Source organism: Homo sapiens, chromosome 11 (genome assembly GCF_000001405.40).
Source record: "Homo sapiens chromosome 11, GRCh38.p14 Primary Assembly".
Taxonomy (NCBI): Eukaryota; Metazoa; Chordata; class Mammalia; order Primates; family Hominidae; genus Homo; species Homo sapiens.
In genome coordinates, this window is record NC_000011.10 from 1,961,631 (window position 1) to 1,974,681 (window position 13,051).

At 64.3% G+C, this 13,051-nt stretch overlaps 1 protein-coding gene across 4 annotated transcripts in view, besides 5 other annotated features; it reads left to right on the forward strand.

Moving 5' to 3' along the window:
• The window catches only part of MRPL23 (mitochondrial ribosomal protein L23), a 67,613-nt gene that overhangs the window by 14,299 nt on the left and 40,263 nt on the right, over positions 1-13,051 (forward strand). For 3 of the 4 annotated variants that reach the window (XM_011520273.2, NM_001400176.1, NM_001400179.1), the window contains exon 5: positions 10,929-11,128. In XM_011520273.2, coding sequence (XP_011518575.1) covers positions 10,929-11,128 — 200 coding nt within the window. Of the gene's footprint in view, positions 1-608; positions 1,209-10,928; positions 11,129-13,051 lie in introns of those variants that run through there. The other variant, NM_001400182.1, reaches the window with a different exon arrangement.
• Positions 1,646-2,386: an enhancer, noted in NCBI's record as "H3K27ac-H3K4me1 hESC enhancer chr11:1984506-1985246 (GRCh37/hg19 assembly coordinates)". NCBI's record gives its function as "activates a minimal SCP1, AML or CMV promoter by ChIP-STARR-seq in naive H9 embryonic stem cells {active_cell/tissue: H9 hESC(naive)}" and the evidence as "EXISTENCE:reporter gene assay evidence [ECO:0000049][PMID:30033119]".
• Positions 1,646-4,512: a biological region, named in NCBI's record as "VISTA enhancer hs1488".
• Positions 2,212-4,512: an enhancer, noted in NCBI's record as "VISTA enhancer hs1488". NCBI's record gives its function as "enhancer in: hindbrain (rhombencephalon)[11/12] | midbrain (mesencephalon)[10/12] | limb[12/12] | eye[8/12]" and the evidence as "EXISTENCE:transgenic organism evidence [ECO:0001131][PMID:17130149]".
• Positions 2,387-3,126: an enhancer, noted in NCBI's record as "H3K27ac-H3K4me1 hESC enhancer chr11:1985247-1985986 (GRCh37/hg19 assembly coordinates)". NCBI's record gives its function as "activates a minimal SCP1, AML or CMV promoter by ChIP-STARR-seq in naive H9 embryonic stem cells {active_cell/tissue: H9 hESC(naive)}" and the evidence as "EXISTENCE:reporter gene assay evidence [ECO:0000049][PMID:30033119]".
• Positions 3,127-3,866: an enhancer, noted in NCBI's record as "H3K27ac-H3K4me1 hESC enhancer chr11:1985987-1986726 (GRCh37/hg19 assembly coordinates)". NCBI's record gives its function as "activates a minimal SCP1, AML or CMV promoter by ChIP-STARR-seq in naive H9 embryonic stem cells {active_cell/tissue: H9 hESC(naive)}" and the evidence as "EXISTENCE:reporter gene assay evidence [ECO:0000049][PMID:30033119]".

Below are 13,051 nucleotides of genomic sequence, written 5' to 3' on the forward strand. Positions count from 1 at the left end.
CTTCCCTCTGTGGCTGAGTCGTGCTCCACTGGGTGAACGGTCCGCGTGTTCATCCGCCGTCCATCAGTGGACACGTGGCGGCTTCCGCCTTTTGGCTCTCGTGAGCAAGGTTGTGGTGCACACGTGTGTGCACATTTTTACGTGGATGTGAACTTGCCGTTTCTCTTGGAGGGATCGGGCATTTTCTTGCCTGGGGTGTGCATGTGAGGCTGCTGTAGCCTCACTGAGGAAGTGACTGTCCCAGGCTCTAGAGGTGCCTGAGGGCGGCCGAGGGATGGGGCCGGCTCCACAGACGTCCCTACCGTGGAGCTCCAGATGGTGTGCTCATGAAGGCGACATCTTCCTGGGCTGCTTCTCACGAGGGGCGCAGGTGGGCTCCCGAGTGGCCTGGAAGCTGGGGAGAGGCGTGGATGCGGATGGCGTGTTGCTCTTGGGCTGGCCCCCAGGCGGTTCCTGCAGGGCGCTGGGAGCTTGGCCCGGGCTGGGGCTCGGGTTGGGGCTCAGGGGTTGGACCGAGGTGCCCAGCCCCAGGGCTCTGGCCGCCTTGTGCATGCTCCCTTCCCTGTCATTCTCTGCCATCTTCGTGTCTCTGTCCTCCTCCTCCCCAGGTGCCGCACCCTCGGTCCCTGCCTCTCTGTCTCCAGCACCGCTCACAGCTCCGCACCCCCAGAATTCCCTGCATTGTCGCCTTTGCGTCTTGGGGCCCTGGGAGCAAGCACGATGCCTGCAGTGCCCTGTGCGTGGTGGCCAGGGCCTGGGCTGCGGTGTACGTGAGTGCCCGTCTCATCTCCGTAGCCGGCTAAGAGTCCTTTCAAGGCCAAGAATTCTTCTCTTTGACCACATTTCCACCCCTCCGCCTGCCCTAGGATGCTCTCCATAGTGGACGCTGCACTTTGCCATGGCATGCCGGGTGGACAGGACTGCTGGGGCCCCCGTGTTCCAGCCTCTCCTGCGCCTCCAGATACGGCTGCTTCCTGGGTCTGGGTGTCTGAGGGGACGTCCCTCAAGGTTCCCACCCAGCTCAGCCTGTCAGGAGCCGCACCCTGCGAGGCCTGAGACCACACCATGCCGGGTGGGGACACACGGGCCCTGAGTGACCTGTTGGGCATCTGCGTTCACCACCCCACCCTGTCTGAGATCATCCCCAGCACCAGTCCCCCCAAATCGCTTCATTATTTCTTTGTAAATAGGGCTTTTTCTAGTCAAAATAGTCAGCTTTTCTTGTTTCTCCGACATCTGGCTTTGATTGGCCCTGGCCTCCGTGGACGCTGGGGCCCTGACGCTGTGTCCAATGGGGAGGGCCGGCCAGGCCTGCATTCTCCCTGCACAAAGCCAGCTCTGCGAGAGGGTGGGAGACCCCCCACCGTTCTCCCCCTCACATCTGCACTCCTTGCCTTGGCCTGGGCCCAGCTCTGCAAAGCTGAGACCCTAGGGGGCTCACCCCATGGCTAGAGTGACCCCTGCTCTGGGGCGCCCATGGTGGGAGGCTGGGGGCGCTGGCCTTCAGAGACGTCCCTCAGGCCCAGGACAGAGCCGCTACCCCATCCTTCCCTCTGACGTTCTTTGCCATCCTCCCTCACTGAGAGACATGAGACAGAAGATTCCAGAAATCCCATGGAATTCTACATGGAATTCATAGAAGCTCAGATGTGCAGGGTCCGCAGCCTGTCCCAGGAGGGTGCAGCCGTGGGACCTGCAGCAAACATTTCCCGCAGAGACAGGGGTCCACAGGTCCAGGCCCCGTCACCCCAGGGAAGTTGGGGGCTGGAAAGGGATGGGCCCGTTGGGTCCGACAGTAACGCCCCTTCCTGCTTCTCCACTCCTTCCTGCCTGGCATCCGCACGGCAGAGGCCCTCCACGCAGCGTCAGGGACTCGAAGCCCACCTTTGCACAGTCCTCTGAGTTCCCCTGAGGGCACCCCTGAGGCAGAGGCCTGGTTCAGGGCACTCAGTGGGTGGAGAGGCCAGGTAATGAGTGAGCAGCCTCCCCTCCAGATTGGGGAGCCCATGGCCCTGCTCTGCAGAGCCCCCTTAGCCGGGCCAGTCCCGGTCACGCGATGCTGCTCGCCTCCTTCCCACAGGTTCACTGGGAGGGCTTCGTGTCCGTGCGTCCCGTATTCTCAGCGCGGTTGCTCAGCACTCTGCGTGATGACAGTGTCGTGGGTTTTAGCACTGATCGCAGAAGGAAGGGTGCCATTGTCTGTCAGTACGAGACGCCACTGGTATTTGGATAATTATGGAAGTGCTCAAATATCCCAGGATAGAAACCTGAACGCATCCCTGAGGTTGATGAATTGGCGTGTGCCTCCCCCTGCACCCTCCTCACCAATGGGTACCCATGAGCAGCTTCCTGGGGTGTACCTGGGGTGCCCCGGGCCACCCACATGGCCGTCCCTCCTCCGGCAGTGGTGACATTGGGCACATCTGCGCTCCCCGCCTTGGCCTGGGCCCACTGAAGGGAAGTAGCAGGGAAGTAGCCAGAGGACAGCCTGAGCCCGTGACACGGCCCAGTTAGCAGCAGGCTCGGCCGGCAGAACTGACCAGTCACAGATGCCGAGTGAGGCCCATTCCAGGCGAGGACACCGCCGTGCTCCCGGCGCGTGGGCACTGGGCATGGTCCCGGCCTGCGAGAGTTTGCCACAGACCCCAGGAGGAGCGAGCCGGGCCCAGGATGGAGCACAGGAGACCACCAGGAGCGGCTCAGGCCCCGTGTGTGGGGTTGACAGCAGGACCCTGGGCAGTGCTTCGGGGTTGGGAGGAGATGCTAGCGGGGCCAACCCTTCAACTCACTCCCTCTCAGCTTCTCAGCCTGGAGCCAGGGCCGCCCAGGCAGGCCCCAGCTTTCCCAGCTGCAGGCGGCCCCCTCCTCCTGGCCTGGGGGAGGTGTTCCCGGCAGCCCTCGCGCGGCCCAGGGCAGGGGTGAAGCAGCCTGTTAAACAGAACAAGGTGCTCGCGGCTCATACCTTAGCTTTACGAAGTGTTTGGAATTCCGACGGCCCCAGCAGCTGGGTGCGCCCTGCCCCGTTCTCCCTGGGACTTTACCGGCGGCCAGGGCCTTAAATAATTCTTGCAAAAACCATGTCAGCCCCAAACTGTGTGATATCTGATTTGTAGCACTCATAAAACCCCATGCCTGCTGCCAGAGAGGGGGAGGGCCGAGCCCGGCCTCGCAGGTCTCATTTCCCGTCTGCGCGTGCGTGGGCGCGAGTGAGGGGTGCCCTGGGGGAAGGGTGGCCCCAAAGAGCTGGACCCCTGCAGTCCCCGCTGGGGCTCCCGCCTTGCCCTGCGGCCCTCGCCTCCCCGTCGGCAGGGACAGCGTGGGTCCCCCCATCGCCACATTGGAGACACAGCCTGTTGCGCCCCCCACTTTGTTAACTACGCTTGGTAGTCAGGGTGTCCCCAGTGGCGGGAACAGCAGCAGCGGTCTCCTCAGGGCCAGCGGAGGGCACGGCTTCTGCCAGCAGGACAGTATGGATGGCACACCCGCCGAACACTGCGGGCCGAGTGTTGGGGCTTGGAGACCCCACGGGGAGAGGGCCCTGGCCCACCCAGGATGGAGCTCGGGAGGAGGGCCCCCCAAGCAGAGTGGGGGACCGACCGTGTGAAGCGCAGGCTGCTCCCATGCCCTGAGTCAGAGCTGAGGCCATGTCTTGTCTTCTTTCCATGTTCCGAGCAGACCCCCCGGTGCCCGAAGGTGGGAGCCAGCACAGCTCGGCCACTCCCTCCCCCATCATGGGCCAGGAGGTGCCCAGATGACCCCAGGGCAGCTGGGCCTGGCCGTGGGCATCGAGGCATTGAGGAGGAGCTGGGCTCGTCCCACCTGGAATGCCACCTGAGAACATCCTGGTGACCCCGGGCGGGAGTGGGAGCCCTCAGCCTCAGGGCTGCCGGTCAGGGGGCCTGGATAAGCCCGGCTTTGGTTGTGCACACACTGGGGAGGGGGCGGACCCATTGATTGGTGGCTCCTCGGTAGGGGATGGTCATTAAAGCCCCAGATCAAAGGGCTCTGGAAACACACGCTCATTAGGAAGGCCAGCGAGCCGGCAGGCCGGGGGCGTAGATGGGGCTCTGCTGTTCATTCACCACCACCGGGGTCAGAAAACCCAGCCCCCCAACCGCCCACCCCGAGCCACAGGCTGGAGCCACAGAACGCCCATGGGCCTGGGCCATGGTGGGAGAGATTTTCGGGTAGCCCCCAAGGCCCCCACCCTTCTGGCCTTCAGTGGCCATCCTGCGGTTAGTGAGAGGACCGATGGCTGGCCACTGGGACCTGGGACTCGAGGGCCCTGCCCGCGGGTGTAGGAGGGACACATGGGCTGCCCAGGGGCTGGGGCATGGCACTTCCCCCAGCTGGTTCCTAATGGCTGGCAGACAATGGCCACCGCCTGGACCGGGAGCACAGGAAGCTGGGGCCCCGGAGCAGGCCTGGTGGCGGCTTCTGGGAGGGAGGCCTGGCTGTGGGTGTGCGGCCTGGGTGAGGGGCCAGGAGTCCGGGTTTCCACTTTGAGCTGCTGCCTTGCAAGCCTGAGGCCCCTGGCTGTCACTTTGTCTTGATTTGTCTAAAATGTGGAGACGAGGCCAGATGCAGTGGCTCATGCCTGTAATCCCAGCACTTTGGGAGGCTGAGGTGGGTGGATCACTTGAGTCCAAGAGTTCGAGACCAGCCTGGCCAACATGGAGAAACCCTGTCTCTACTAAAAATACAAAAATTAGCCAGGTGTGGTGGTGGGCGCCTGTAATCCCAGCTACTCGGGAGGCTGAGGTAGGAGAATCACTTGAACCTGGAAGGTGGAGGTTGCACCACTGCACTCCACCCTGGGTGACAGAGCAAGACTCTGTTTCAATAAATACATAAATAATAATATAATAAAATAAAACGTGGAGATGATAATGCTTGCCCAGGAGACACGGCCCTCCAGAAGAAGCCCGCCTAACATCGAGCTTCGCCCTGAGGGTCCCCGCCCCCGATACCCAGCCCCTCCTCCCCCGGTGCCTGCTGGCACATGGCAAGCCTGCCACCTCCCTGCCAGGTGGGATTCTGTCCCGCGCTGTCTGTCCCTCACGCGGCCACGGTGTGGCAGAGCATGCCAGGCAAGGGCACCGGAGGCTCAGGCCTCATGGCACGGACCGTTTTTCAGAGATGGCATTGCCACTGCTGGCCTGGGATGGGACCTCCCTCTGTGCTGCCCCTAGACAGCCAGCCATGCACCGATTGGAGCCAGCTCAGCTCCTCCGCAGTCCCCACCCTGGTCAGGGCCTAGCTCTGCCCCCCAGGGGTGTCTCACCCCTTAAGGAGCGTTCCAGGTCCTAGCCTTCCTTGGGACTGTGTCCCCGACCCCCAGGGCTGCCTCCTGCCGACAGGCTGGTCCCCAGTGAGGAGGTGCTGGGGGGCTGCAGGGCCGCCGGGTCGTGTGTCCTGGTCACCCTCTGTCGGGGTGCCTGACCCTGCTCCCCAGAGGGCTGGCTGGGGCTCCTCTGTGGTTTTGGGGCCCTGCCCAGGCACCCTGCCTGGCTTCAGGAGGTCAGCTGCCCCGGGGCTCTGTGCTGCTGCTGCTGTTTTTCTTTCGGTTTAACAAAACAAACCCCACCAGCCGGCAATGGACTGCTCCTGATACGCATCCCTCCTCACCCTCCAGAGGCCCCGCTGCTGGGCACAGAGGTCTTCAGAGCCTGGGATCATGGACCCTCTCCTCCCAACAGCTCTTCAGGGCAGCCCGTGGGGTGCTCGTGGCTTGAGTGAATGGTTGGTTCCCGTCCTGCTGGAGGAGGGGGCGCCCGCCAGGCCCGGGCCTCAGCTCTGAAGTCTGGGAAAAGCCCTCTGGCATCCTGCTAGGGTGCAGGTGTGGCTGAGAACACTGCGGAGCAAACATGCTCAGAACATCAGCCCCCAAGGGTTCCCGGGAACCCAGAGTCCCGGAGCTGGACAGCCGGCTGAAGGATCCCCTAGGTCCTGGGCGACCCCACGCGTGCCCGCGGGATGAGGCAGCTTACACTCTAGAAGGTGCCTCCCAAAATAAAACCCAGGCTCGGGGCCCTGAGGGGACCCTGTGGGGGGGCCCTGTGGGGCTTAGGACCAGCTGCTCTTCCCATCTCAGCCCTGTCCTCCCTACGAGAACATCCCCTGCTCGCCTGGGCCCCTGGGCCTCACCCCAGCTAAATCCACCGGGCCCCTCAGCTGGTACATAACAGGGAAACTATGTGTTCCGAGCCTCCCTCGGGGCTCAGGGAGGACGTGCCCACTTGTGCAGGGTGAGGGGCCAGCAGCTGCCCGGGGAGCGTGATGAAGGCCTGCAGGAATGCCCTTTATCTGAGGGTATCTGGTTGCCCGCCGGGATGCCGGGAAGCCGGAGTTCCAGCCCTCCCCTGACTCCTGCGAAAACAGAAATAGCTCAGGGAGATGGGACACAGTTGTCCACATCAGTCAAGAGGACCCAGCCAGCACGGCCGTTTCTGAACTCTTCTGACCTCAGGCTTTTCCAAGAGTCGCCGCCCGGAGGCCCCTCAGCCCCCAGCCAGGGAAGCTGCTAGGCCCTCCGGAAGCCCCAGGAAGGGGCTAAGAAGGGGCCGCACTGGTCATGCAGAGACCATTTCTGCCACTCCCAAGTTGTTGAGGTCCGAGCCTCTCCTGGCAGCATGGGGCGGGGGCACGTGGGCAGCAGCTTCTGCAGGGGCCACCTTCTGCCCAGGCTTCCTCATATTTGCCTGGGGTCCCCCGCCGCAGGCTCAGCTGCAAGCAGCAGATAGGACGCTGGGTTGGCTGGGGGACCCTGGGGCGTGGAGGGGCTGTGTGGGGCTGTGGGTGCAGGAAGAGAAGCGCTCCTCGTCAGGGGGCAGGGACACAGCAGAAACCCAGGGCGCTTCTCACACCCAGCAGCCTGGACCTGAGACGGCTGGGGGGACCCCGAGGACAGATAGGGTGGCTGGGCGGGGTGCTGTGGGGATGCAAGGGCAGGCGCCGGAGCAGCGGCCTGGGCCTCACACGCTGGACCTCGTGCCTGTCCGTCAGGCTCATGGAACATTCTCGACAAGGCCTGGGAGCCGGGGGCCAGGGCGTGGGCATCCTGAGGGGGTGCCGTCTGTGGTGGACACGCAGGACTCTTGGTCTGCCTGAGGTATGACCCCTCCCAGCCATGCCTGGTGTGTCATCACCACGGCAACACCGGGAGAGGCAGGCAAACACAGGACAACAGACCAGTCTGGCTCTGCATGTCCCCTGGAGGGGGCAGGACGGTTGGGGAGAAACCCTCTCGGCAGCCTCAAGCCAGCCCTGCCCCACCCGCTGGGCTCGGACCACGCAAAGCACATGGGGGGGCCGGTAGGGGGCTTGGGCAGACAGGGCCAAGTGCCCAGGCCCGGGTTCAGGGTCACCCAGGATTTTGGGGTTTGGGGAGAAAGCAGTTTGGCCTCTCCCACACCCACATTCTGGGAGCTTCCAGGCGACTAGCGCCTTGGGCAGGCGTCCGGCCCCTTTAGGAGGCCTCTGTCTCCTTCCGCTACAAAGGAGGGAGCCCCCTGCCTCTCAGGACACGGGGGCCTCAGGCTCATTCAGGAGTGCTGGGCTGGGCCACCAGGTCCCGGTCTCCGGGGATGCCGGCCTCGGCCTGCCTGGTGGGGGCAGCAGAGCAGTGCGGTCGGTCGGACGCCTCCCTCTCCCCGCTTGGGGGGCCTCCTGCCCCCAGCCCAGCCGGTTTGCTCCACATGGCGCCTTCCCACCACCCCCTCCCCCGGAATGCAGTCCCAGAACACAGGTCTGGAGCGCACACCCAGCCCCCGGGCAGCCCCACCCTCCTTCCGGGCAGCCTGCCCTCCCGGCCCTGGGCAGGGGGGGCTCGGGGCGTTGTCTGATGTCTGAGGTGGAGGCCGTCTTCAGGGTGGGGGCTGTTGGAAACAGCTTGGAGAAGTTATGTCTGTCCCCCACAGAGAAATCGAGTCAAGAGCCGGGTGTGTGGCAGCTCCGTTCCCCTCTCCCTGAGGCCAGGACCCGGCGGGCCTGGCAGCTCAGAGTCCAAGACCCCCACACCCAGGCTTGACCTCAGGAGTCGTGTGTGCAGGACGCCCCCGCCACCCAACCCAGGGCGGCGCTGCCGGTCAGAAAGGCCGTGGGCGGTGGTGGCCACGTTGTCCTTCCCCAGCTTAGCTGTCCACAACCTGAGCCCTCAGCGAGGCCTAAGTTAGGGTCTGAGTGAGAGGGCCAGGGGCCTCAGCCGTCATGGAAACCCGAGCCTTGGCAGCAGCGGCACCCACTCCAAGTTCCGGGGAGCGGGGTGCACGCGGGAGAGCGGCAGGATGTGCTTCCCGAAGGCCCGAAGCCTGCAGGCTGCACTAGGACGGCCCCTCCTGCCGGACCCCTCGCCCCAGCCCTGCAGCTCCAGCCCTGCAGGGCCTCTCTCAGTCACCCCCTCCCAGCCGCGGGTGGGAGGGAGGGAGGGAGCGTGAGCCTGAGCCTCCCCCAGTGAGGCCGCCAGGCCCCTGCCTTCCCGGCCTGGCGTCTGCTTTCTGTGTTAGAGGGATCGAGTTCGCCCCTCCTCGAGGGGCTGGGTCTTATCTCTGGGAAAGAGATTACAGAGTTTCTGACATTAAATTTTCATGCTGAAGTTTTCAGCATGTAGTTTGAAAAGTATTTTTTTCAAATAACACCTGGAGAGGAGGGACGCGGGAGGAAGTCAAGCCTGCTCGCCATAAAACTTTGAACTTGGGGGTGGAGGGACACCCTGTCCGGCACCCCCTCCCCGCTCCGCCACAAGCGTCTCCCGCCCTCCCCCAGTGTGAGTTATTGATTCCGGCCGTGAGAGCCTCCTCCAGCCCCCACCCCCACCCCGGGTCTGCTCCAGCCCAGCCCCCTGCAGCTGCCCTCGGCCTGGCAGTGGGTGCCATGCCGCTGTGCCCCTCCGCCCACCCGCCCGTGGTCCGTTCAGCCCAGGCCCTGCTCTCCCCATTTTGTTCTTTGTTCTGTGCGGGGCTCTGGAAAGCCCTGCACGTGTTTGCTGCAGCCCCGCAGGCCAGCCGTGGGATCCCCGGGAGAGGCCAGCCTCCTGGGCCCAGCCGCTCTGTGCCCAAGGTGGTCCTGGGGTCCGGGGCCCGTGTTGCCATCTGTGGGCCGCAGACTCAGAAGGGCCTGCTCTTTGTGTCCTTTGGTACTTGAAGGGGCCCTCTTGGAAAATCCAGCCTCGAGCTTGTCTGTTGGGTCATTTTGGGGATTTGCAAACACTGGGGCACGAGAAGTCACCTTGCTGACCCTGTCCCACCTCGTTATGTCGCAGCCAGGGTGCTGCGGCACCTGATGGAGCCTGGGAGTCCTGGCGGGCAGAAGGAGCTGAGGGTGGCAGGGGTGGGGCAGGCAGCCGGGCTCCCCCATTGCTTTCCTCCGAGCATCCCCAGCCTCCTGAGCATCCCGATCCGGGCCAAGTCCTGGACTTTGCTCCTCTGCACCCTCACGTCCACCACTCGTCCCTGTCCTCCCGGGGCCCCGGCCTGGCCACAGCCCTGCTTCCTGTCCAGCCCTCCCATCTGTCTTTCCCCAATGCTGTGGCCGCTCCAGCCCATACTTCTCGCCATGCGTGGGTTCAGGAGCCAGCCCCTGCAAGCCTGCCTTAGCCCAAGCCGCCAGCCCGAAGCCAGCCCTTCCACCCAGCGCCCCTCCACCTTCCAGCCACACAGAGGGCCCCCCAGTGCGCCCCTGGAACTCCTCTCTCTTCCACACCATCCACCTCCTGACACTGCCTGGGCTCTGGTCCGGCCCAAAAGAACACAGTGCCACTTTGCGGCTGCCCCGGGCCCTGGCTCGGCTGCCCTGAGCCCTCCAGCGTCCTGCTCCACAGCTGGGGCCTCTCCGGCCCTGCCCTCCACCACCTCACAACACACTTTCCTTGGGGGATATTGCACTCCATCTGCCCACCCGCCGCCCGTGATCTCCCTGGGGCCTGCTCCACGAGGGATGCTCACGAACTGGGTGAGGGGACAGAGGAACCAGGACAGAATGCCCCCGGGGCCAGCCCTCTGCCTTGCACCAGCCACCCAACCTGCCTCGGGCCCAGGTCCACTCCCAATTCCTTCCCCTCACCTGGGATCCCCAACAGACCCCACACCCAGCCTGGCCGGGCCATCCCAACTCTATGGCTCCCAGACATTGCCCGTTCCCTCCTTGGCCCATGACCCTTAGCGGGTGACACGTCAGGACAGAGAGGGCAGCTGAGGGCACAATCCCGGATCTTCCTGCTGCCCACCAGCCCTCCTCTTTCAGGGAAGACCCTCAGGATCTGCCTCTGGGTTCCTCCCCACCTCCTCAGGGACCCTTCTCTGCAGTCTTGGACCAAGGCTGGCAGGCACGTGGGGCCACCCCAGGTGAGCCCTCTCCTCCTTCGCAGTGAGAACTGGGGGCAGAGGAAGGGGGAACAAAGCGGGGACCACACTCAGGTCAGGAGGTCGGGTGCCTCTGTCCACTTTCTTTCTCCCCCTGCTCAGGGTCTTGGAGGAGGTAGGGGAGGTAACAGCCACCTGGGCAGGGCACCGGACGAGGGAGGATGCTAACCTCCAGTGACAGGGCAGTAAGTATCCGGGGCGTGCCCGTCCCCGGATGCCCTGGAAATGGGAGATGGGCCGGCCGTGCCCCGGGCTGGGCAGTGAGTGAAGGCCCCATGCTCCTTCCTGTCCCTCGGGCCTGGCTTGGCCTGTGGGGCTTGGCGGGGCAGCACTTTCTGCAGACTCCAAACACAGCAAGCTCAGCTGGCTAGCTAGTGCCGGACCCACTGCTGGGAGAGGCAGCCAGGGCTCCAGGGCTGCCCCGCACCCCACCTCGTGCCGGGCACCGCCATGTTCCCCTCCTGCACACTGCGCCACAGTGCTGGCCGGCCGTCCCTCCCCTCCTTTGAGACTCCTTCCCCCTTCTCTCGGGTCTCTCACCTCTCCCTGCCCTTCTTCCTCCCCTCGCAGCCCTCCCAGACACCCAGCAAGGAGCAAAATGGCCAGGGCAGCACCCTCTGTTTCCGGAGCAGCTGCAGCAAGGGGTGGTCAACCTGGGGGACCAGGGACCCCAGACCCGCTTGGAGTCCTGTGGGTGGCCGCATTCCCAGGAAGGCTGGATCCGGAGGACCGGCCAACAGGATCGCTCAGGATGGACGTCTTCTACTCAAGTAAGACCTTGGCAGCCTTGGTCGGCTCCATAGTCACCCTACGCTGCCATGTGGGAAGATTCCCATGCGCCAGCTGCAGACCCAAAGTCCAGGCAAGTTGGGGCTTTGAGGGGCACAGAGGGAACCCCCGGTCATACAGTGAAGAGAGCAGCAATGGACGGCCACACAGTACTGCAACATGGTGGGCTCCAGGGCAGACGCCAGGAGCCCAGGACCCGGGGATGGGGCCACTCGCCCGGCTTGGCCACACAGCAGCCCCACCCGGCTCTAAAAGCAAGACCTTCAGGGGCTCCAGGCGAGCTCTGGCCATCCCTGGATGCGGTGTTTCCTCCAGCCCTTCCCATGGCAAGATGCCCTGCTCCCCACCTGGCCCGCCTGCCCTCCCACCTCCCATACCTCCCCCGGCCACCATCTCCGTGGCCCACAGCTCCTCCCAGCCTGGTCTCACCTTTCGACCAGCTTGCTGCAGTTTGAGATGGGACCAGGAAGGAAAGAGAAGGTTCTGGGAGGAGGAGGAGGAGGCTGCCAAGTGGCTGGTGCCAGGGCCGGGCTGGCAGGCGGGAGACTAGGAGAATGGAGACGGATGGGGGACGAGGTAGACATGTGGAGAAATAGAATGGGTTTTGGGAGATGGCAGAGACCAGGAGACGGAGAAGAGCCTGGAGGAAAGGGCCCCACCCCGAGGGAGGAAGGGAGGGCTTGGGGGAAACAGCGCCCGCCCGTTGCACCCCGGAGGCCCAGGAAGGGTGATCCTGATGGAGAGAAGGGGCCGCCCTCGAGAAGAGGCATGCGATCCTGATGGAGAGAAGGGGCTGCCCTCGGGAAGAGGCATGCGGGGAGAGGAAAGGAGAGCTGCACTGCAGAGGGGGCTGTGGGGAGAGGGGCTCTGCCATCCCCTCAGCCAGATGGGTGTCGTCTTCCTGAACATAGAAGGGAACCGGGATGCCATGTTCTAACGCCCGTGTGTTTCCACACATGGCCAGGAGTTCGGGCAGGGCTGGGCTGTGAGCAGGCAGGACTGCCCTCCCGAAGCAGGTGCAGAACGAGCATTTGGGGAAGGAGAAGACACGTGTCCGCACCTGCAGCTGGTGGGGTGGGAGGGTGAGCTGCCTGCAGGGTGGTGGGGGGCAGCCCGGGGGGGCTCCTGAGGATGCACAGCTCCCTCCCAAGGCCAGGGCTCTGGGCACTGGGGTCCAGGAGAGAGTTTTGCTCTGCCCATGGCCAACAGGTAGGTGCCCAGATGCTGTTCTGTGGTGGAGTGAGGGGACCTTATTCCCTGGGGCCCAGAGGATGCCCAGCTCTGCCAAGGGCCTTGAATGACTCCATCAGAGGAGGTCCGGAGCCCCAGGGCCATTCCCTGATTCCTGTCACTTTCCCAGGATGCCCTCCCTCACCGGGTCGGCTCCCAGCTCCCCTTGGAGTGAGGAGGGCTGGACCCCACTGAGTCCATCGCAGACCCCAGCTGGCCGGGCGCATGGCTTCCCGTCTCCTCTCTGGGCTTGGTCCTCTTGTGTGAGGGGTCACGGCCCAGGCACCCATCTCCTCTGGGTTGAGGCTGGAGGGTGTCTCCGGGAAGCCCCTACGAGTGCAAAACCTTGCTGTTGATCTCAAGACCCCGGGCGGAGACGGGAGGAGGAGGGTGGAGGAACGAAGACCAGATTCCTGGAGGACGATTCTGTTGAGCCTCCAATTCCCTGGACTGATTATTTGCTTAAGTCAGAACTCCCGGCCGGATGGGGCTGGGGCCAGGAGATCAGGGAGAGGGTTCTTTCCTGGACAGGTCTGCTTATCCCAAGGGCCAATTAGCAGTAGCAGAGCCTCAGCAGGAGCTTGCTTGTCCTGGGAGCAGGGGTGAGCTTATCTGCTCCGAGGGGTGCCCTGCCGGGCCTCGGGGCCTTGGAGAGGGGCCGGCTCCGTTCTCCG